The 24,835-nt window shown below is 53.6% G+C and overlaps 1 protein-coding gene across 5 annotated transcripts in view; it reads right to left on the bottom strand.

The window, feature by feature from the left end:
- Positions 1–24,835, bottom strand: part of ARHGAP39 (Rho GTPase activating protein 39) — a 171,184-nt gene that overhangs the window by 76,054 nt on the left and 70,295 nt on the right. For 3 of the 5 annotated variants that reach the window (XM_011517308.2, NM_001308208.2, NM_025251.3), the window contains exon 2: positions 303–463. In XM_011517308.2, coding sequence (XP_011515610.1) covers positions 303–382 — 80 coding nt within the window. In that variant the 5' untranslated portion in view covers positions 383–463. Of the gene's footprint in view, positions 1–302; positions 464–3,189; positions 3,441–8,048; positions 8,272–24,835 lie in introns of those variants that run through there. The other 2 variants (NM_001308207.1, XM_017013870.3) reach the window with 1 other exon arrangement.

Consider the following 24,835-nt stretch of genomic DNA (forward strand, 5'->3'; position numbering starts at 1 on the left):
CCTGGACAACCGAGTGAGACCCTGTCTCCTCAAGAAATAAATCAATGAATAAATTAGAAAATCAAAAATTAGAAAGAGAAAAACGACGAATCATGGCGACCCGCATCTGCAGGAACGCAGGCCACGGCCCTGAGGGCTGCACTGTGCACAGGTGGCATCGGCCATCCAGGCCTTGGGAACAGCCAGCGACGAATCCATTCTCCACGGAGAATCCTGCATGCACACTGCTTTCTCTGCAGGAAGAAAGCAGTTCCACCCACTCGTGAGGCCCGGGCAGCTCCGCAGGTCGGTCGGCTCCTTACCGAGTGTTCGACCCTGGAATCCTCGACTCCGGCAGGTCGACATTATGGCTCCTGCACTCGTAGTCCTGCGTCTGGGACATCGCTGTTTGCTTCCGCGCCCACGTGGACAGACGTCAGGGCACCATACGCACAACGCCAGCATCAGACGGGAAGGTGCCGCACTGCAAGAGGGGAGAAGCAACAGTGCTGATATGGAAGACGCCTCACCACACCAATCACCCGGCCCAGCCCACCGCCGCAGACTGGCTGGGCAGGATGACGATGGACTCCACGGCACCCGTGAGCCGCCCCCGGGCAGCCAACCCCACTCCTCAGTGCTCCTGATGCCTGGCCCTGCGTTGCAGCGAAGCCTGGCCAGCCCCACACGCAGCAGGGAGGCTGTGCCCACCAGCCAGGATCCCCCCCATGCCAGTCTGAGACACCAGCCCCACTCCACGATGGGCCGGGGCAGGCACAAGCCAAGCATGGGGGGACCGTGGGACCGTAGGACTGGAGGACTGGGAGGAGGGCGAACAGGAGGACACAGGACCTGCTCCGCCCTCACTCTCAGCCCCACATCTGAGACTCAGTGTCCCCAGCTGTCCACACAGGCGACACTCGCCGGCAGTCACTGGGGAAGGACACGGGGCCACACGTGTAGCACAAGGGCGCTCAGGAGCAATCCATGTTCACACGGACCACCTGACTTCCAACAACAATGCTGTGTTCACCAGGTGTACAGTCCATCCTTGAAAAACACGGGTCTGAGCCAGGAGGGCCACATATACATGGATTTTCTTCCTCCTCTGCCTCCCCTGAGACAGCACAACCAACCCCCTTCCTCTTCCTTCTCCTCGGCCTACTCAATGTGAACACGACGAGGATGAAGATCTTTAGGATGATCCACTTCCACGTAATGACAGTAAATATGTGTTCTCTTCCTTATTATTTTCTTACTACCATTTTCTATTCTGACTTTATAGGAAGAGTATAGTAGATATTACAATAGCATACAAAATGCACGTGAATTGACTGTTGTTATCCGAAGGCTTCCCATCAACAGCAGGCTGTTTGTAGTTAAGAGAAGGAGGAGGAGAAGGAGGAGGAGGAGGAGGAGGTGACGGTGGAGGAGGTGACTGCGGAGGAGGAGGAGGAAAGTAAGACATGGGTTTTTGACCACCTGGTGGGGGTCAGTGCCCCTAAACCCTAAGTTGTTCAAGGGTCAAGTGTGAAAAAAATGAACCTTGACCTCTACCTCATCCAATCTCGTACGTAAAACTTAGTTCTAGATGCACTGTAGGTCTAAATGTTAAAAGTAAAATAATAAGGCTTTTGGAAAGAAATGTAGGAGAAAATCCTTGTGGCCTTACAGTAGGCACAAATATCTTAATTGGACACACACAAAAAACAATGCACAAAAGAAAAATTAACAAATTGGACTATAGTAAAATTAAGAACATCTGTTTATCAAGAAACTATTAAGCAAAAAAAAAAAAAAAACCCACATCCTAAGTGGGAGATATTTGCTACAGAGAACATGTGTAATGTGTGTGTGTAATCTGACAAAGGGCCACATCAGACATATTAAAAACTCCTACCAATAAGTAAGGAAATCAGCCGAGTGTGGTGGAGCGTGGCTATGGTCCCAGCTACACGTGAGGAAGAGGAGGGAGGATCCCGCCACTGCGCTCCAGCCTGGGCGACAGAGCGAGACATTGTCTCAAAAAAAAAAAAAAAAAAAAAAAAGCCAGACACAACTGAATGCACAGAGTACAGTTGCCTTTCCTGAGGTTCAAGGTCAGGCAAAAGCAGCCTCTGCTGTTAGAAATCAGAACCCATGGCCTCCGGCCCGGGTGGTGACGGGGAGGGACCCACGGCTGTATGGCTGCTCCTAGCCTTGGTGCCACTTCGCCTGTAGCACTGGCTTATAGAAGCCACAGGGCCTCACATGTGCCGCTACACTCCAACAGTCTGCCGAACCGTGGTGGGCACTGCTGTGGTGGGCACCTGTCTTCTTGCTCCCGGATGCCCCAGCTGGTATCAGTACAGCCCCCACCCCGCCCCCCAGGAGAGGCCATTCCATAGATACTAGCTGTGCTAATTCAAGGGGAAATAAAAAAGACTCAAGCCCCAGAAGAGAGCACAGCAGGTGACGGGAAGGGACACTGCAGGCCAATTGGAAACTTTCTCCAAGTCCCAGACAGATTGTGGGGCCACAAATCCTACCTACACTCACGCCGCTCACAAGCGGGGTAACCACCTCCTTAGAGGAAACGCGCTTTCCGCCACTCAAATCTCCACACAAGTATTTATTTTAATGCTTGGGACTGCTACGAATGCTATTTTTAAAAATGAAACTCAGGCCGGGCGCGGTGGCTCATGCCTATAATCCCAGCACTTTGGGAGGCCGAGGCGGGTGGATCATTTGAGGTCGGGGGTTCAAGACCAGCCTAGCCAACACAGCGAAACCCCATCTCTACTAAAAGTACAAAAATTAGCCAGGCGTGGCAGCATGTGCCCGAAATCCCAGCTACGCAGGAGGCTGAGGCAGGAGAATCACCTGAACCTGGGAGGCTGAGGTTGCAGTGAGCCGGGATCGTGCCACTGTACTCCAGCCTGGGCGACAGAGCAAGACTCTGTCTCAAAAAAAAAAAAAAAAAAAAAAAAAGGAAAAAGAAGAAGAAATGAAACTCAAATATTTTTAATTTCTTGTTTGAGAGGAAACAGGTGACCTGCTCGTACAGCTTCAATCTTTTTGAAAAGTAAAACAGCAGTATCAGTGAAGTTCTAAAAAGCTAAAAAGCATCCACCACAGCCTGAGAGCCACCTTGACCAACTCCTTCCCCTATGCACCTGCTTTCCATCCTCAGTCCATCCTTCCATCATGGGTTCCAACATGCTCACTGACCTCCTTGTCCTCTTAGACTCAACTCAGGCGTCACCTCTCAGGAAGCTTCCTCCCATCTGGGACCCCACGCCACAGTGAGTCCAAATGCACCGGGTCTGCAATCAGGCACTGCGAGTCCCCAAACTCTGCTTTTCATTGTTGAAGTTGTTTTAATTATTCCAGGTCCTTTGCATTTCTATATGAATTTCAGGATCAGCTTCTCGATTTCTACAAAATAGCCTGCTGGGATTTTGATTGCAGTTGTGTTGAATCTATCGATGAGTAAGAGGAAAATCAACATCTCACCTACATTAAATCTGATCTGGGAGCAAAACATCTCTCTCTAGTTGGGTCTACTTTCAGCAACATTTTGTAGTTTTTAGTGTACAAATCTTGCACATATTAGTTAAGTCACCCTAAGCATTTCATATTTATAATACTAACAAAATATAATTTCCAATTTTTTGTTGCTAATACAGAAAAAAATGTTATTTGTTTTTACAATTTGATCTTGTAACCTTGATAAACTCACTTATTAGTTCTAATTGTTTTTCACAGATTTATTATGTTTTCTGCAGAGATGATCATGTCAACAGTGAATAAAAAGTTTTACTTCTTCCTTTCCAAACTAGATCCTTTATTTTTCTTGCATAATTGCACTGGGAAGAACCTGCAGTATTATTACTGAACACAATTAGTAAGAGTGAACATATGTGCCTTCCTCCTAATCTCAGGGAAAGCATCCAGTCTTTTACCATTAAGTATGATGTTGACTGTAACTTTTTCATGAATGCCTTTTGTATTTTTAGTTTGTCAAGTTATTTTTTAAATTAGGAATGGATGTTGGATTTTGTAAAATACTTTTACTGTATCTATTGAAATGATCACATGGTTTCTCTTTAGTTTGGTAATAGCTGGATTCCATCAATTAATCTTCTATTCTTAAACCAATTACGTATTCCTTGTATAAATGCCAATTGGTCACGATGTATTGTCCTTTTTTTTTTTTTTTTTTTTTTGAGACGGAGTCTCAGTCTGTTGCCCAGGCTGGAGGGCAGTGGCATGATCTCGGCTGACTGCAACCTCCACCTCCCAGGTTCAAGCGATTCTCCTGCCTCAGCCTCCCAAGTAGGTGGGATTATAGGCACCCACCACTATGCCCAGCTAATTTTTTTGTATATTTGGTAGAGACGGGGTTTCATTATGTTGGCCAGGCTGGTCTTGAATTCCTGGCCTCATGATCCACCGCCTCAGCCTCCCAAAGTTGTTGGGATTACAGGCGTGAGCCACCGCGCCTGGCCATATTGTCCTTTTTATATATTCTCAAATGGGATTGGCTAAAATTTTGTTAAGAATTTTTACATCCATATTCATATTCATTTTTGCATCTATTTTCTTCTTGTAACATCTTTGGTTTTGCTATCAGAGTAATACCAGCATAACAAAATGAGAAGTATTCCCTCCTCTCAAATTCCTGGGCGAGTTTATATAGAATTGCTATTATTTCTTCCTTAAATGTGTGGCAGAGATTCCAGTGAAGCCAGATGGGCATGTAGTTTCTTTGTGGGAAGGTTTTCAATTACACATTGAATCTATTTAATAGATACAGAGCTGAGCAGGCTCTAAAAATTTCTTCTTACGTGAGTATGAATGGTTTGTCTTTCAAGGAACTTGCCCATTTCATATAAAATTAATCACATTTGTTGGCATAAGTTATTATACCATACTATTCCTTTATATCTTCTTAAGAGCAACAGACTCTGTAGCTATGCCACATCTTTCATTTTTGACATTGATATAAAAATGTCTTGCTTTTTTCACTTTTCTGGCTAGAAGCTTATCGATTTTACTGACTGCCTCAAAAAGACAGCTTAATCGTTTTTTTTCTATTTTTCTGTTTTCATTAATTTCCACTTTGATGTTTGTTTCCTTTCTTTTGCATCCTTTAGACTTAATTTGCTTTCCTTTTTCTAATTTCCTAAGCTAGAAGCAGAGTTCAGTGATTTGTACATTTAAAAAAAAAATTTAGGGCCGGGCGTGGTGGCCCACGCCTGTAATCCCAGCACTTTGGGAGGCCGAGGTGGGTGGATCACGAGATCAGGAAATTGAGACCATCCTGGCCAATACTGTGAAACCCCATCTCTACTAAAAATACAAAAAAGTTAGCCAGGCGTGGTGGCGGGCGCCTGTAGTCCCAGCAACTCGAAAGGCTGAGGCAGGGGAATGGCGTGAACCTGGGAGGCAGAGCTTGCAGTGAGCTGAGATCGTGCCACTGCACTCCAGCCTGGGCGACAGTGAGAGACTCCGTCTCAAAAAAAAAAAATTTTTTTTTAGGTATTTAGTATTATAAAATACCCCTCTGAGTACAGCTTTCATGATATCCGACAAGTTTTGATATGCTGTATTTTCATTTTCATCCCGTTCAAAGAGTTTTGAGATGGAGTCTCACTCTGTCACCCAGGCTGGAGTGCAGTGGTGGGATCTTGGCTTGCTGCAACCTCCACCTCCCAGGTTCAAGCGATTCTCCTGCCTCAACCTCCCCAGTAGCTGGGATTACAGGCATATGCCACCACACCTGGCTAATTTTTTTGTATTTTTAGTAGAGATGGGGTTTCACCATGTTAGCCAGGCTGGTCTCAAACTCCTGAGATCAAGGGATCCTCCCACCTTTGCCTCCCAAAGTGCTGGGATTACAGGCGTGAGCCATCACGCCCAGCCTCAGAAAGCTTTCTAACCTTTCTTTTGATTTCTTCTTTGACTAATGGAACATATACTCAGTAACTAATCATCTTCCAGATATTTTTTATTGGTTTCTAATTATGTTTTTCTCAGAGAACATAATTTATATGATTTGAATTTGTTCAAGTTTATTGATGCTTTTTATGGTCCCCTAAAATGGTCTATCCTGGTAAATGTCCCGTGTGCACTGGAAAAGAACGTGCTGCCGGGTGAAGTGCGTATAAAGCCAATCGGATCAGGCTGGTTGATGGTGCTGATACTAATTTCTGTTCTACTTGTTCTATCCATCACTGAGAAACAGGTCAGGAGAGTCCCAACTACAACTGTGGATTTGTCTACTTCTCTTTGCACTATCAGTTTTTGCTTCATGTATTTTATAGCTCTGTTATTAGGTGCATACACATTTACAGTGTCTTCTTGATGAATGAACTCTTTTATCATGAAGTATCTTTATCCTGGTTGTTTCCTTTGCTCTGAAATCAGTACATTTGATATTACAGTAACTCCGGATTGCTTTACATCAGAGTTAGAATTGTGTAACATTTATCCTTCTTTTACTTATAACCTATTTATTTATTTAAATTTAAAGAGGGTGGCAAGGCACAGTAGCTCATGTCTACAATCCCAGCACTTTGGGAGGCTGAAGCAGGAGGATCCCTTGAGGCCAGGAGTTCAAGACCAGCCTGGGCAACATAGCGAGACCCTGTCTCTATAAAAAAATTAGCCAGACATGGTGGGGTGCACTTGTATTCCCAGCTACTCGGGAAGACGAGGCAGGAGAATCGCCTGAATCTGGGAGGTGGAGGTTGCAGTGGGCCGAGATTGCACCATTGTACTCCAACCTGGGTGACAAGAGCAAAACTCCATGTAAAAAAAAAAAAAAAAAAGGAGGATGAGGCCAGAGGATTCCTTGAACCCAAGAGGTCAAAGTTGCAGTGAGCCACGGCTGCACCACTGCACTCCAGACAGGGCAACAGAGTGAAGTGAGCCACGGCTGCGCCGCTGCACTCCAGCCAGGGCGACAGAGTGAGGTGAGCCACGGCTGCGCCGCTGCACTCCAGCCAGGGCGACAGAGTGAGGTGAGCCACGGCTGCGCCGCTGCACACCAGCCAGGGCGACAGAGTGAGGTGAGCCACGGCTGCGCCGCTGCACTCCAGCCAGGGCGACAGAGTGAGGTGAGCCACGGCTGCGCCGCTGCACTCCAGCCAGGGCGACAGAGTGAGGTGAGCCACGGCTGCGCCGCTGCACACCAGCCAGGGCGACAGAGTGAGGTGAGCCACGGCTGCGCCGCTGCACTCCAGCCAGGGCGACAGAGTGAGGTGAGCCACGGCTGCGCCGCTGCACTCCAGCCAGGGCGACAGAGTGAGGTGAGCCACGGCTGCGCCGCTGCACTCCAGCCAGGGCGACAGAGTGAGGTGAGCCACGGCTGCGCCGCTGCACACCAGCCAGGGCGACAGAGTGAGGTGAGCCACGGCTGCGCCGCTGCACTCCAGCCAGGGCGACAGAGTGAGGTGAGCCACGGCTGCGCCGCTGCACTCCAGCCAGGGCGACAGAGTGAGGTGAGCCACGGCTGCGCCGCTGCACTCCAGCCAGGGCGACAGAGTGAGGTGAGCCACGGCTGCGCCGCTGCACTCCAGCCAGGGGGATAGAGTGAAGTGAGCCACGGCTGCACCACTGCACTCCAGCCGGGGCAACAGAGTGAGATCCTGTCTCAAAAAAAAAGGTTTATTTTAGCCCACATATATGTGAGTATTGATTTTTTATGCAATCTGACCATCTTGCTGTGTGTTACCTGTTCTATCTGTTCTCTTTTCCTCTTTTCTGCCTTCTTTGGATTAAGTATTTTATGTGGGTCAACTTTATCTCCACTGTTCACTTATCAGCTGTAATTTGTTGCTTTGCTATTTTAGTAAATGCTTTTGGGTTTATAACATACATCTTTACTTTGTCATACTCTGCCTTCAACGGCTATTCTACCACTTCAAATATATGCATTTACCATTTTCTTCTCTCCTGGCCTTTTATTTTTGCCATTTTTGTCAAATATTTTATTTCTGTATATGTTATAAATTCCTCTCTGTTACACAGTTACTATTCTTAAACAATTACATTTTAGAGAGATTTAAATATCATGTATTTACCCATGTAGTTACCATTTCCAGTACTCTTCAATTTTCTGTATAGATCCAGACTTCCACATGGTTTTGTTTTCCTTCAGCCTAAAGCATCTGTAACATTTCTTTCAGTGAAGGTCTGCTGGTAATGAACTAGTTCAGCTGTTGTGTGTTTGGAAACATCTTTATGTCACCTTCACTTAAAAGATATTTAGGTATAGAATTCTTGGTGGACAGTTTTTTTTTTTTTCCCTTTCAGCATCTTAAACACACTACACCATTGTCTTCGCACTTGCATTGTTTCTCATGAGAAATCTGCTGTCATCTGTGTCTTTGTTCCTTCATACACAAAAGGCCTTGCTTTTTTTTTTTCTGGCTGCTTTTGAGATTTATCTCTTTGTAACTGGTTTTGAGTAACTCGATGATGATGTGCCTTGTGTGATTTTCTTCATTTCTTGTGCTCAGGGGTCCTTAAGATGGTCAGATCATGTGACATGAATCCATTGGTCAACAAAGAAAAAAGAAAGATGGTCAGATCTAGGCTTATAGTTTCCATCAAACTGGGAAGCTTTTCAGCTATCATGTCCTCAAACAATTCTTCTGTCCCTCCCTTCCCACTTAGGGACTCCAATCACATAATTGTTAGGCCTCTGAAAGTTGTCCTACAGCTCAATGATGCTCTTGTTTGTTTTAAAGTATTTCTTTTCCTTGTTTCAGTTTGGAGAGTGTCTACTGCTTCATCTTTAAGTTCACTAATCTTCATCTGCAATCTCTGATCTACCATTAATCCCATCCAGCATATTTTGTACTTGGACATTTTCGTTTCAACTCTAATTTGGATCTTTTAAAATACTTCCATGTCTCTACTTAATGTGTTCAGTCTTTCCTGTTGCTCTTTGAACATATGGAATACAGTTATAATAATTACTTTAATAACCTGTCTGCTAACCCTAACATCTATGTCAGTTTTGATGGATTTTTCACTCCAGTATGGGTTCTATTTTCCTGTTTCTTTCCACACCTGATAATCTTTGGTTGGATGCCAGACATTATGAATGTTACCTCTTGGAAAGCTGCATATTTTTTGTGTTCCTGTTACTATTTTTTTTTTTTTTTTGAGACGGAGTCTCGCTCTGCCACCCAGGCTGGAGTGCAACGGCACAATCCCGGTTCACTGCAACCTCCGCCTCCCGGGTTCAAGTGATTCCCCTGCCTCAGCCTCCCAAGTAGCTGGGATTACAGGTGCATGCCACCACGCCCAGCTAATTTTTGTATTTTCAGTAGAGATGGGGTTTAACCATGTTGGCCAGGCTGGTCTTGAACTCCTGGCCTCAGGTGATCCGCCCACCTTGGCCTCCACAAGTGCTGGGATTACAGGTGTGAGCCACCGTGCCTGGCCCGTTACTATTCTTGAGCTTTGTTTTGGATCCAGATACTTGGAAACTGAAAATGTTGACTCTTGCTTCTGAGATTGTCACACAGCAGCAGAGCAGCATTTATTCTAGGGCTAACTGTTCTCCACTGGGTACGCTACCACATGCCCTGTGAGTTATGAGGTTTCTCAGTCAGCCTGCTGGCAACAGGCACTCTTCTTAGTGTTTTGAGAGCTCTGAGTACTTACTGTTCCCTCTAATCCTTCCAGGTGTTCCCTTACTGTTCCCTCTAATCCTTCCTGTTCTCTGGTAGTTTCCTTATATGAACACAATGATCAGTATGATGTTGAAAAACTAAGAGGAATCCTCAGCCCATCCTTTCATTCCCCATTTCACCCCTTACGAGTCTGGATCATGGGGGCAGAGGCTCACGCCTATAATCCCAGCACTTTGGGAGACCAAGGTAGGAGGACTGCTTGAGCTCAGGAGTTCGAGACCAGCTGGGCAAGATGGCAAAACCTCACCTCTACCAAAAAATACAATGATTAGCTGGGCGTGGTGGCACACGCCTGTGGTCCCAGCTACTTGAAAGGCTAAGGTGAGAGGATCGCTGACCCCAGAAGGTCGATGCTACAGTGAGCTATGACTGTGGCACTGCGCTCTAGCCTGGGCAACAAAGTGAGACCCCCTTCTCTAAAAATTAGAAAAAAAAAAACAAGTCTGTATCTTACAGAAAAGTGAAGCACGTGGGCCTTCTGCCTCATCTTGCCAGATGTCTGCCTATACTCAGCTCCCCGAGACACAACCCCATTCTTTTAAAATACTCATCAATGCTATCTCCAAAAATCCATTCTTGTTAAACAAAAACCCAGCCTGCTGGAGACCTGATATGGCTGTCACTGCTTCCCGTCTGGCCGACACCCTCCTTTGCCATGGCTATTCCTTAGGCCCATTGTGGATTAAATCTTGTTCCCTATTTTTCATTCTCTTTGTTCACTGCAGTGAGTTTCAAGAAGGAAAGCAGAATAAATGAGTCTTTACTCAGCTGTCATTTCCAGAAGGCCCAAGTTCCACTCTCAATGCTGTTTTTAGTTTTCCCGGTTCTGAACAATGAACCCAGTCTCATGCTCTGAAAGCTCGGCTGTGAGCTGGAGACACAAGGCCCCATTCTCCCCGCCCAGTGCCTGGGCCAGGCTGGGCAAAGACACGACCCCAGTGAGCAGGACAGGCACGTCCGGCATTTGCCGCCCCTTCAGCAGCTGTGCTCACCAAAGCCGCCTGCTCCAGGACAGGCCAGGTTGAGGGGTTTAGAGCTGTGACCCAGCCCATCAGCAAGCCATGGAATGGACTTGGGAGGTCAGGGCCGGCTTCTTCACCTTTCTGGGAGGGGGAAAGGAGGGGGTCAGGCACACCCCACACGGAAAGGACGGTGCTGGTTGGAGCCACCTGGATGCGCAGAAAAAGAATTTCTTACTGTGGTGTGGCTGCTGCAACATTTGCAAAGCTGCTGCTTGGCCCTGGGGCTGGCATTACACCTGGCTCCGTCTGTGTGACAAGTTCCTGAGAGAGGCAGTCTGGAGGGGCCTCTGTGCCTTTAGGACGCATGGACCTGCCTGGCAGCACAGCCCCTTCCTGGATCCTCTGTGTCCATGGTCAAAAGAGAGACCTGGTCTGTGACCTGGGACAGGCCCCCCATGAAAGGGTCCTGGCTTGTTCATAAATTCTGAATGAGTGTGGCTGTGGGTTGCCCCTGGCTTTAAGAGAGAAATGAGAAAACCCATGGAAGGGCTTTGTAAATGCAGGAAACAGAGGCTCAGGCACTACAAGGGTCAGACCCCTCCTCGGAGCCTGCTTGTGTCCTAGGAGGCCGCCTGGTCAAAGGGTGCTCAGCTACTCCTTTGACCCCCTCCAAGCTGAGCCCCCCAAGCCAACCTCCAGGGTAAGAGATGAGGCTGAGTGTTGCTGACTCTGAGCCACTGCCTCACCCCAGGCCGCCCTAGGCAGCAGCCAGGAGGTGGGGAGGGCAGGGGGGGCCCAAGGGCCATAGGGGCAGCATCCAGGTGCGGCACAGTGGCCTCAGGCAGCAGGACGGGTGCAGGAGGACCTGGGTCCCACGAAGGACGGCGAGTGCCAGTGGCATCCTGTGGTGCAGGGTATTTTTCTTATTACTCAAACCTCTTTAAAAAATGATTGTTTAAAATCTGGTAAATAAAAATGTCTTCTGCTCACTACCATATATGCCCAATGCCCAGTGAATCAATGTTGCCCAGTGAATCAACAAACACTATTTTAAAACAAAACAATGCTGGGAGCAGTGGCTCACACCTGGAATTGCAGCACTTTGGGAGTCCAAAGCAGGAGAATCACTTGAGGTCAGGAGTTTGAGACCAGCCTGGCCAACATTTTTAGTCTCTACTAAAAATACAAAAATTAACTGGGAATGATGGCACATGGCCTGTAGTCCCAGCTACTCGGGAGGCTGAGGCAGGAGAATCACTTGAACTAGGGAGGCGGAGGTTGCAGTGAGCAGAGATTGTGCCACTGTACTCTGGCCTGGGCGACAGAGCGAGACTCTGTGTAAAAAAAAAAAAACACCAAAAAAACAAAAAACACAATTGGGTGATTTCAGAAGTCCTTCTGAATAAAGGTGATGGTACGAGGGCCTGGCACCTCACGTCTCAAAGGGCTTCTCACCTGTCACTGACTTTGGCAGGCGGGACAAGCGGCGCAGCACCAGCAAGAGCCAGGAGACCTGAGCACCCAGCACCGCAAACCAGGAGACCTGAGCACCCAGCGCCACAAACCAGGAGACCTGAGCACCCAGCGCCGCAAACCAGGAGACCTGAGCACCCAGCGCCGCAAACCAGGAGACCCCTCCAGCTCAGCTGGGCATCCTGGGAACACAGCCTTCAGGCTGAGAGCCCAGCCTTGGCCCCAGGAGATAAGAAACTGAAAAGACAAAAAAAAAAAAAAAAGGCAGGAGCAGCTGAACTCTGCCAGCCGCACCCGCTCTAGTCTGGTTTTGTGATCTAAAGTGAGGTTTTTGTTCTTTTAATCATGGAATCTTGCCTCTCACCTGGCTTTGTTGGTTGCCTTTCTGTATAGTTTTATGTTTTGCTTTCGTCTTCTGCATTGATTTTAAAAATTCTATTTGTTCTTCCTCTGCCTTTTTTGAGGCAGGGTCTTGCTCTGTCGCCCAGGCTGAACTGCAGTGGTACAATCAGGGGTCACTGTAGTCTCAACCTCCCGGGCTCAAATGATGCTCCAGCCTCAGTCTCCTGAGAAGCCGGGACCACAGGTGCGAGCCACCACGCCCAGCTAATTTTTGTATTTTTTCTAGAGATGGGGTCTCTCTATGCTGCCCAGGCTGGCCTTGAACTTCCTGGCTCAAGGGATCTGCCTGCCTCGGCCTCCCAAAGTGCTGGGATTCCAGGTATGAGCCACCACGCCTGGCCTAAAATTCTATTTTCAATGGAATAGAATATTTTAATTTTTATTAGGTGGTTACTGTAACATTTCTCAAAAAATCCTGAGCTCCACCCTTTCAAGAACCCCTCGCCTGCCTGCATGGCAAAGCCCACCCGAGCCCAGTGCCCCTTGTCCCCGCCCTCTCCCAGACTGGGGTCCTGGTGTGGGGCTGGGGCCACATGGGGTCCTGAAAGGGCAGGGCTGGTGCTGAGGGGTCTGTCATGATCACGTCCCGCCTCTTCTTTTCTGCTCAGTAATCTCACATGAGCTTTTTAAAAAGAATCCACTTCACAGTTTACTGATGTGGAATTTTTGTTTTTGCCTGTGTTCGTGGGTAGTTTAATAGGTGACGGGAGAGGAAGCTTCTGGAGGTCACCGTGGACTCTATCCTGAGGCTGTCCACCAGAATGCTGTACCCAGAGACCTGCCTGAGGTGGGGGTTGCTGCCTGCAGAGGTTGTGGTGGGCGCGAGCAGGCAGGCAGAGCCCCGAGGACGCGCCTCAGCCATGCGCCCTCCATCCCCAGGCCCAGGGCCAGCCTCAGCCACCTCCCCCTCTGCCGGGGCTGCCGCCTGCTCAGCTGGGAGGGAGGTCCCTGAAGAGGCCGGGCGCAGGAAGCGGCTCCCTGCAACGTGGTACCCGGTTCTCGCATGGGAGGCGCAGTGCTGGGCTTCCTGGGAGCAAGTCCTGCTGGGGCCTCCCCAGCCCCCGGCACTGCCTACCTCCTCCCGAGGCCCTGTGGCGTGGCGTGAGCAGGACCGCGGGCGCACAGCCACCGTGGCGGGCACAGTTGCGCACTGGTGACAGCGGCCTCGTCTGGTTCTTCCCACAACCCTATGAGGCAGGTGTGCTCCGTCCTCATCCTCGTCCTGCAGACGTGGGGCCCCCAGGGCCTGTGGTGGTCTCCATAGCAGTCAAGGCCACAGCCCAGCCTGGTCCACAGTGGACACAGGGAGCAGGACAGGCCCAGAGAGCAGGACAGGCCCAGGCCCCAGGCACGTCACAAGGGCTTCCCACCCCCACCTCACATTGCCGGAAAGTTCCAGTCATGAGTGGGCAACAGGCGCTTGCTTCCAACGTCCCACGCCGAATCTGGAACAGAGGATGCTCTGTGCCAGCTCCAGACAGGGTCTGCTGGGAAAGCAAGCGCGGAAACAGCATCTGCCTGGGCTGGCGACGCCCGCCATAGACCAGGGTGCCAGAGGCCCCTCGCTCCGAGAAGCGCGGGTCCCCATCCCCGCTCCAGGGCCGGCACGCAGCATGCATGTGGGCCTGTGTGTCCCAGAGGGAGAGTGTGTGCCCATGTGCGTGTGCGCCCGTGTGCGTGAGCCCGTGTGTCCCTGAGACAGCAGGTATGCTCGTGTGCGCGTGAGCTCGTGTGTCCCTGAGAGACCGTTTGTGTGAGCCTCTGTGTCCCTGAGAAAGCGTGTGTGCCTGTGTGCACGTGAGCCTGTGTCCGAGACAGCGTGAGTACCCGTGTGTGTGTGAGACTGTGTGTCCCTGAGAGAGCGTGCATGTCCGTGTGTGAGCCTGTGTGTCCAAGAGCGTGTGTCCGTGCATGAGCCTGTGTACCTGAGAGCACGTATGCCTGTGTGCATGAGAGCTTGTGTGTCCCTGAAAAAGCATATGTGTCCGTGTGCGTGTGAGCCTGTGTGTACCTCAGTGTGTGCCCGTGTGTGTGAGCCTGTGTCCGAGAGAGCGCGTGCCCGTGTGTGTGAGCTTGTGTCCCTGAGAGTGTGTGTGCCCATGTGCGAGCTTGTGTGTCCGAGAGAGCGTGAGCCCGTGTGAGTGAGCCTGTACATCCCTGAGAGAGCGTGTGTGCCCGTGTGCGTGTGAGCCTGTGTCCCTGAGAGCATGTGTGCCTGTGTGCGTGTGAGCCTGTGCATCTGAGAGCGTGTGTGCCCATGTGTGAGCCTGTGCGTCCCTGACAGTGTGTGCCGGTGTTTGTGTGCCTGTGCGTCCCTGAGAGCGTGTCTGTGTGTGCCCGAGTGTGCGTTGAGCCTGTGTGTCCCTGAGCATGTGTGCCCGTGTGCGTGTGAGCCTGTGTGTCCCTGAGAGCGTGTGCCCATGTGAGCTTGTGTGTCCCTGAGAGAGCGTGTGTGCCCGTGTGTGAGCCTGTGTCCCTGAGAAAGTGTGTGTGCCCGTGTCTGTTAGCCTGTGTGTCCAAGGGAGCGTGTGTGCCCGTGTCTGTTAGCCTGTGTGTCCAAGGGAGCGTGTGTGCCCGTGTCTGTTAGCCTGTGTGTCCAAGGGAGCGTGTGTGCCCGTGTCTGTTAGCCTGTGTGTCCAAGGGAGCGTGTGTGCCCGTGTCTGTTAGCCTGTGTGTCCAAGGGAGCGTGTGTGCCCGTGTCTGTTAGCCTGTGTGTCCAAGGGAGCGTGTGTGCCCGTGTCTGTTAGCCTGTGTGTCCAAGGGAGCACGTGTGCCCGTGTGAGCCTGTGTCCCTGAGAGCATATATGCCCGTGTGCGTGAGCTTGTGTGTCCATGAGAGCATGTGTGCCCACGTGCGTGTGAGTACGTGTGTGTGAGTGCATGCCCACTGCTCAAGCAGCCCTGCCATCTGCCGAGTTTGCATCCCTTGCAAGAGTGATGGCTCCAAACCCAATTCAGGTCCAGACCGCCCTCTCTGACCCCTGACCCAGTGGGCTGCCCTGAGCACCGCCTGTGCCCATCCACCTGCGTCTCCAGGACAGGCGCCTACGTGTGAGAAGATGCTGGGACAGGCAGGGACTGTGAGTACAGAAGAGGGGCCGTGAGGACCGGCAGGAATCCCTGGGGCCAAGCTCCTGAGGTGGCCACTGTGCCCTCGAGGTGAAGGTGCCGGGAAGGAACTGGGAAACTGAACAGCAACTGGAAAACGCCAGGCACAGACCCGTCCCTTGGCAGCCCCGCTGTCACCAGCCTGTGAAGGCCTGCTTTGCAGGAGGCACATGGTTGGAGGGGGCCAGACTCACCACCCAGAGCCCCAGTTGGCAGCTGTGCTGGTGCTGTCCTAGCCCCCATCACAGGGTGGCCCAAGCCCCAGCCTGCAGCTGCCTGCCCTGTTAGCATGACATCACATAAACTCTGAGCAGTCCCTGCCTTCAGCCTGGACTCTGCAGGCCAACCAGTGCCCTCTCAGAAGTTGTGCAAAGGGGCAGCAGGCCAGGCCAGCACAAGCTGCATCCTGCCAGGTCTCCCTGATGAGGGCTCTGGGCTCTAGAACAGAAACCGCCCACTTCCCAAGTTTTCCACGGCCCCCAGGGCTTCCAGGCCAACAGAGGCCCTCAAACGCAGCTTGCCAGTTCCCAGGGGTGGGAAAACCACAAACCCCAGGAAGAGACAGTCCCATGGCTTCATATCAACACGACAGGGTCCGGAGTCAAGGTGCCACCCAGAGAAGAGGTTCTGAGGCAAGAGGCGGGAAGGGCTGGGGGGCAGGGCCTGGCAGGTGGGAGGAAGACAGTGGTGAATGTAATTGACCACTGGTTAAAAGCTCATGTTGTTGGGAGGCTGAGGCAGGCAGATTGCTTCAGCCCAGAAGTTCAAGACCAGCCTGCGAAACATAGTGAAACCCCATCTCTACGAAAAAATACAAAAATTAGCAGGGCGTGGTGGTGCACATCCATAGTCCCAGCTACTCAGGAGGCTGAGGTGGGAGGATGGCTTGAGGCCCTGAGGTAGAGGCTGCAGTGAGCCAAGATATCGCCACTGCACTCTGCAGCCTGGGCGACAGGAGTGAGACCCTGTCTCAGAAATAAAATAAAACAAAAGCTCATGCTCATGTTCTCCTAAGGGATAAAACTACAGTTTCAGGCAAACAAGATGTGGTCGGCTCAGTGCGGGCCGCACACGCTCAGGTACTCCTCAGAAGAGCTGAGTGACTGCGACTTGGGTAGGAAGACTCAGAATGCACAATGTTAAGGGTGACAAAGAAAATAATCAAATCAACTGGAAAAACACAAAGGAGGAGAAACTTTCATTTACCCCACAGAAAGCAGGAAAGAAAAAGAGGAAAGGGACAGACACAGAAAACACACACAAGACTGAGCCCCCCACGGCCTCGTGCCAGCAGCGGGACACAGGCAGACCGCCTCTGCCTCGATGGGGTCTGCACAGGCCCAAGGTGAGGGGTCCCGGGCAAAGCGTGGGGGCCTTGGGGCACCAGAGGAGCGGAGGCTGAGTGGCCAAGGCTGAGGTGAGCTGCCTCTGGGAGGAATCACTTCCAGTTTCTTAACGTAGGTTCCAGAAAAACTTCAGCAATGTCCTCACACCCCCATGGCCATGTCAGCAGCCCCACCCGCCACAGGCTTCCTTCTGTGAAGCCTCCAGCCAAGTCCAAGGCTAAACCACAACAAGCAGCAGAAGGCATGGCACCTCCCAGATACTCCGGGCTCTGCCACAATGACCCGAGGGCCAGAGCGGCTGTGCCCGGAGCCGCCCTCCCAGGAGAGGAGGCCCAGTTCTGGTGGGAGAAAAACACTCCAGCCTCAGGTGCGAGCCCAGCCCACAGCACCGACAGGAGTCAATGTATTCAGAGTGGACACTTGCGTTCTGTCAGAGTAAACTATGCAGCTTTGACCAGACCTTTAATGAACAAACAAGCATTACTACCAGGTAAGATATATTTTTAAAAACTTTAAAAATCTATCACTGGGTTGGCAAGAACGTTCAGAACCTTAGAGAACAAAACCTAAGTAAAAGCAGGAACCTGGAAAAAGGAAGGCCCCGCGCAGGAGGGCCCTGGCCGGCAGCTGGCCTGCGCCCGCTCCTTTCACAGCTTTGCAGAAGTCAGGGGAGAGAGGCTGGGCCAGGCCTGGTTGCTGATCCAGTTACTGCCGGGGGACGCCCCAAGGCTGAGACTGGGAGGGTTTAGGTGAACAAGGAAGAAAGCCACCATCCAGCCCTAGGGGAAGCTCTTATCACAGTCCTGGCCCCACTCGGTCAGGACCCACAGAAACACAATATGCTGCATGCAGGCTGCAACGGGGAGGGCAAGTCCTGTGTGGACGGAGTGCTCAGAATAAAATGTTCCTGGATCTTTGAATCGTTTGGAGGAGGGCAAAAATACTAATTTTAGACTTCAACAAATTAATTCTGCATGTTAGAACATCCGAGGCAACCACTATGAAGCCAAGTGAGCAAATTCCAACCCAGTAGAGAAGAAAAAGAAACAAAAATAATCCAAAAGAAGTCAAGAAACGAAAAAGCAACTGGTCCTCAAATGACAGAGTACAAGGAAAGATGGTGGAAATAAATTTAAATATAATAATTACAGTAATGTAAATGGACCAATAGTCTAGTTAAGACAAAGACTGTCAGCAAGATTTTAAAGATCTTGGTAAAGATCTATACCAAACACATCTAAAGTATAAGGGCAGGAAATTCTAAAAGTCAAGAATGGAAGAGACAGAGCTGATGCGGCTCCATCGAGGCTGGCTCTGTGGATACAAGGCTTCCGCGACTGGCGAGGCGACCCAGACCTGACAGGCGGCCTCGCGGCACAGACACAAAGCAGGCAGACGTGTTCCAGGAGGCACCCGACGTCTGCAGCGACAGAGGAGATGGTACAAGAAGCCTTGCTTTACCTTGCAGGTGTGCAGAACGCCGACCCAAGAAACGGAAAACACAGATTCACCATCCAGGGAGTGTCTCTGAAACTGACCACAGAGCAGGGCATGAAGCAACGTCTGGGCAAATGTCAGAGGCCGCAGCACCCAGGCAGGCCTCTGTCAAATGCACCGCCCAGAATCAGGAATGAGAGAGGCCACTGGGCAAGTAAGCACACAGAGCAGACAAAAAGCCTCCCAGAGAAGGACTGGCAGTGAGTGAGGAGCTCTGCGCCCGCATCCCTCACTTGTTGGGGTGACAACAGCACACCAACTGCAAAGGCCCATGACCATGCTTGGCATCAGCAGCAGCCTTGGGCGTCCCAGCTAAGACCTGGAGAGCTGACGGAGCAGCCTCGTGCTGCAAACAAGCAGGACCCTCCACCCATCAGAAAGAGCCCAGACCTCACCAGCACGCAGGCCTCCCGAAGAGAAGCTTCCTTACGCTCGTGCTAAATCAGCCAGGAGCCATACGAGGTCGGCCCTGTAAGCCACACCCACCTGCACCTGTGCCTGCCATGTTAGCCCCAGTGACTTGGCCGTGCCGACAGCCATGACGAGCGCCCTTTGCACTAAGTGTAAAGCGTACAGTATAGGATACACTTTTGGGCTTGGACAAAACAATGAATCATTAAATATATAAAATAATCATCGTCTCAAGAAATAATTTTATATGAATAAAGAGGAAAGAGGAAGCATGAAATCCACAACTCACCGGGCCTGAGAATGAACTAGAACACATCATTTCTCTCTGATCAATCACACCCCAATCTCCTTCTGAAGACCAGTGAAGACTCGCCTGTGTGGCAAGGCTGCCTCTAACCCGCACATCTGCACCGACACGGCTGCACGAACAGCAAAACCGCAGCATCCCCCGTCCCGGCGGCCCGGTTCACGGAGCACTCACTGCACACTGCGGCAGCCCCTGTCCCGGCGGCCCGGTTCACGGAGCACTCACTGCACACTGCGGCATCCCCTGTCCCGGCGGCCCGGTTCACGGAGCACTCACTGCACACTGCGGCAGCCCCTGTCCCGGCGGCCCGGTTCACGGAGCACTCACTGCACACTGCGGCAGCCCCTGTCCCCGCGGCCCCGTTCACGGAGCACCCACTGCACACTGCGGCAGCCCCTGTCCCGGCGGCCCCGTTCACGGAGCACCCACTGCACACTGCGGCATCCCCTGTCCCGGCGGCCCGGTTCACGGAGCACCCACTGCACACTGCGGCAGCCCCTGTCCCGGCGGCCCCGTTCACGGAGCACCCACTGCACACTGCGGCAGCCCCTGTCCCGGCGGCCCCGTTCACGGAGCACCCACTGCACACTGCGGCATCCCCTGTCCCGGCGGCCCGGTTCACGGAGCACCCACTGCACACTGCGGCAGCCCCTGTCCCGGCGGCCCGGTTCACGGAGCACCCACTGCACACTGCGGCAGCCCCTGTCCCGGCGGCCCCGTTCACGGAGCACCCACTGCACACTGCGGCAGCCCCTGTCCCGGCGGCCCCGTTCACGGAGCACCCACTGCACACTGCGGCAGCCCCTGTCCCGGCGGCCCCGTTCACGGAGCACCCACTGCACACTGCGGCAGCCCCTGTCCCGGCGGCCCCGTTCACGGAGCACCCACTGCACACTGCGGCAGCCCCTGTCCCGGCGGCCCCGTTCACGGAGCACCCACTGCACACTGCGGCAGCCCCTGTCCCGGCGGCCCCGTTCACGGAGCACCCACTGCACACTGCGGCAGCCCCTGTCCCGGCGGCCCGGTTCACGGAGCACTCACTGCACACTGCGGCATCCCCTGTCCCCGCGGCCCCGTTCACGGAGCACTCACTGCACACTGCGGCAGCCCCTGTCCCGGCGGCCCCGTTCACGGAGCACCCACTGCACACTGCGGCAGCCCCTGTCCCGGCGGCCCGGTTCACGGAGCACCCACTGCACACTGCGGCAGCCCCTGTCCCGGCGGCCCCGTTCACGGAGCACTCACTGCACACTGCGGCAGCCCCTGTCCCGGCGGCCCCGTTCACGGAGCACCCACTGCACACTGCGGCAGCCCCTGTCCCCGCGGCCCCGTTCACGGAGCACTCACTGCACACTGCGGCAGCCCCTGTCCCGGCGGCCCCGTTCACGGAGCACCCACTGCACACTGCGGCAGCCCCTGTCCCGGCGGCCCGGTTCACGGAGCACCCACTGCACACTGCGGCATCCCCTGTCCCGGCGGCCCGGTTCACGGAGCACTCACTGCACACTGCGGCAGCCCCTGTCCCCGCGGCCCCGTTCACGGAGCACTCACTGCACACTGCGGCAGCCCCTGTCCCGGCGGCCCCGTTCACGGAGCACCCACTGCACACTGCGGCAGCCCCTGTCCCGGCGGCCCCGTTCACGGAGCACCCACTGCACACTGCGGCAGCCCCTGTCCCGGCGGCCCCGTTCACGGAGCACTCACTGCACACTGCGGCAGCCCCTGTCCCGGCGGCCCCGTTCACGGAGCACCCACTGCACACTGCGGCATCCCCTGTCCCGGCGGCCCGGTTCACGGAGCACCCACTGCACACTGCGGCATCCCCTGTCCCGGCGGCCCGGTTCACGGAGCACTCACTGCACACTGCGGCAGCCCCTGTCCCCGCGGCCCCGTTCACGGAGCACTCACTGCACACTGCGGCAGCCCCTGTCCCGGAGGCCCCGTTCACGGAGCACCCACTGCACACTGCGGCAGCCCCTGTCCCGGCGGCCCCGTTCACGGAGCACCCACTGCACACTGCGGCAGCCCCTGTCCCGGCGGCCCCGTTCACGGAGCACCCACTGCACACTGCGGCAGCCCCTGTCCCCGCGGCCCCGTTCACGGAGCACTCACTGCACACTGCGGCAGCCCCTGTCCCGGCGGCCCCGTTCACGGAGCACCCACTGCACACTGCGGCATCCCCTGTCCCGGCGGCCCCGTTCACGGAGCACCCACTGCACTGCAGCAGGCCCAGCAAAAGCCCTGCCAACACCACCAGCATCTCTTCCTGAGTCCTGACCTCCCCACGTACAAGGTGGACCCCCACGGCCCGTCTCCAAGACCAAGGTCTGCCCTCCTACCGGGGACACGCCCGCGGCTCTGCTGGGCAGCTTCCCTCCCCTCCCCTCCTCGGCTAGAGACCCCTCTCTCTGCAGTTCCCCCTCCTGACACTTGAGTGGGGCTCCCCAGATGTCTGGCCCCAAGAAAGGCACAGCATGGAGGCAGCAGCACTGAGGTGGGACAACAGCCCCCACAAGACATCCCTGAAACTCCTGCTGGGATAAGGTTCGTGGCTTGCAGCTGTCGGGGCCATGTTTGTCCCCCCTGGGGAGAGGATCCCCCCGCAAAAACACCAGGGAGCAGAAATGAAAAACAAGAAAAAGAAGACAGACCACCTGGCACCTGGATCCAGCTGTCCTGGAACCCAGCCCCTCACAAAGGAGCCAGGCCAAGGCTGCAGCTGCCTCTGCTGTTTGGATCCGACCGCCATCCCAGTGTCTGCAGCTGCCAGGGACAGGCGGGGGACACAGGAGGGGGCTCTGGTGTCACCCTTCATTTTCAGCTGGTTGACCTTCCAGGCCACAATGCAAGAAAGGGGGTCCACTGGCCGGGCGCGGTGGCTCATGCCTGTAATCCCAGCATTTTGGGAGGCCGAGGCAGGTGGATCACGAGGTCAGATCGAGACCATCCTGGCTAACACGGTGAAACCCCGTCTCTACTAAAAATACAAGAAAAAATCAGCTGGGTGTGGTGGTGGGCACCTGTATTCCCACCTACTCAGGAGGCTGAGGCAGGAGAATGGCTTGAACCTGGGAGGCGGAGCTTGCAGTGAGCTGAGATCGCACCACTGCACTCCAGCCTGGGAGACAGAGTGAGACTCCATCTCAAAAAAAAAAAAAAAAAGAAAGGAAGGAGGTTCACAATGATCTCAAACAGCTGCTGCCAACTGGGCACGGGACACACGCCTTGGTCCCAGCACTTTGGGAGGCTGAGGTGGGAGGATCACTTGAGCCCAGGAGGTTGAGGCTACAGTGAGCCGAAATGGTGCCACTGCACTTCAGCCTGGGCAACAGAGCAAGACCCTGTCTCAAAAAAACAAAACAAAACAAAACAAAGCAGCTGCTGACTTCATCAGCCATGAGGCAGGTTGGCTCATGGAGACCTCCCTGCACCCTGGACCCCTTGCCCTCCCAGTCACAGCAGTGCTCTGCCAGGCACTCCGACTGCTGGCTCTGGAGTCAGCAGCATGGGAGCCTTGCCCCTGCCTCGGAGCCAGTGGGGGGCCCGCCGCAACTCAGACTCTGGCCCAGCTGCATGCAGACCAATGCAGTGGGCTGGGGGCCGTGTTCCCCAGGAGGCTGGCACTGCCAGTCCTGCACCTGCGGGAGAGCCATGGCTGGCATCGGGCACAGCAGCCTCTCAGGCTCTCACTCAGGGTATTTTGACACAAACTGCAGGTGGCTGATGTTGGCCCCACACAGAGACAGCGTCCTCAGAGAGGGGTGGCGTGGGGTACCATGGTGGTCACCATGCAGGGCAGGGGCCAGGTGCCACCTGTGGACAGAAGACATCACCCGCTGCTCTCCCCAGCCCTTTGAGCATAGCATGGTGTGGGCTGTCAGTGAACATTTGCCAGGTAAAAGCAACCCAGTCATTCAAGCAGGGGACACTCATGAGAGCTACAGCAGGAAAAATAGCCAGGAGAACACACACAGAGAGGGCTGGTCCAGCAACCCTCGTGCCAGATGAGAGGCAGCAGCACAGAGGGCATTCCGGAGTGGCATGCCAAGTCAAACGGCAATCCTGAATGTACGTGGCATCATCCAGCTTTAGGTTTACAAAGCAAATGCTGGCAGAACTGAAAGGAAAAACAGACAAACCCACAACCACAGTGGGAGATTTAAAACCGTCTCTCTCGATAACTGACAGGGTGGGCAGACAACAAAACAAGATCACCGATCTAGAAGAACACAGATTCCCAACAGTCAATGAACCAACCAGGCTGGCCTGACTCCAACCAACAGGGAACCCACCCTCTAAATAACCCATGGGCCAAAGAACTACCCCAGGCTGCTGAATTCCTTGTGTCTGTCCTAAGCTCAGCCCACCACCAGTTTGTAGGAATTCCATGCCCCACATCCTGGTCCAGCTTCTCACTGCCCCACCCTGTCACCGCTGTGCCTGGGCGGGACTCATGCGATTCTTGTGATGGCAGGCGTGTCTCCCACCACCGAAATCCAGCTTCGCATTGCCGCACCCCATCACTTTTGCGCCCGGGAGGACGCGTGCGATTCTTGTGATGGCGGATGCATCTCCCACCACCAAAGTCCAGCACCTGCCACGCGCTTCCCATTAGTGCCTCCCTCCCCCAAAGGTGTTGGCTCACACCCTCCGTCCACTCCTTTACTGGATCTTACTAACTTGGAAACGTTTTCTGTAGGTTCACAAAGTGCACAGAATGAGTGTCTTCAGCTACATGAGTTGCAAACTCTAGGTTTGAGGCCACATTGCTCTTCTCGGTATCTTCTGTAACGGAAGGTTTTTCCCTTTTCCCAGTCACCACTCACCCTGCTGCCTGATTAGGGGCAGCCTCAGCCTAAGGCGGAGCTGCACCAATGGCGACACCTCAAGAGCAGACCCGCAGGCTCTAGCGGGCCGAAGGCAGAGCACGGCCGTGAGACCTCCAGGGCTCCAAGAGCAGACCCGCAGGCTCCAGCGGGGCTGAGGCGGAGCACGGCTGTGAGACCTCCAGGGCTTGGCTGCATGGGCCCTGGCAGATGTTAGAGCTGCAGCAGGCTGGGGAAGGCCAGCAGGAGTGGGGCTGGGGACAGCCAAGTGTGAGGGGCTCATCCTGCATGAGCTACCCAAAAGCAAGTGTGGTTTCAGAAGTCTGAGCTTTGGAGACAAACCTGAAAGACATCAGCAAACAGATTCAACCCTGTGAAATTGTATTTTTCTTGATCAACAAAAGTAGCAGCTTTGTGTGGTACACCGGGTGATGGCATTGACAGCAATGAGCGCCTCTGCCCAGGGGCCTGGGGCCAGACCTGTGCTGGCAGAGGGTGGAGAGGACGAGACTCGGGTGGGGCTGCGACAGGAAGAGGAGGAGGGCGCTGGGTGGTGGCCGGGGGACTTTAAGCTGCAATAGTGTTGGTGTGTGCAGAGAGGACGGCCCTGTGGGAAGTGTTGGGGGACTTGCTGGGGGCACATCCTGAGGGATGGCAAAGGCGGCACCTCCCAACTGTGAGTCCAGGTGCAGCACAACGCAGGGGCAGGGGACACTGTGGGGGGCCCTGGGGGCTGATTCTAGCCCCAACCACCACAAGGGCAACTTCTTACTGAGAGACAGGCAAGGCTGAACCCCAGCCCCAACAGGCCCCTGGCAATGGTGTGGGACGA

The sequence above is a fragment of the Homo sapiens genome, chromosome 8, assembly GCF_000001405.40.
Source record: "Homo sapiens chromosome 8, GRCh38.p14 Primary Assembly".
Classification (NCBI taxonomy): domain Eukaryota; kingdom Metazoa; phylum Chordata; class Mammalia; order Primates; family Hominidae; genus Homo; species Homo sapiens.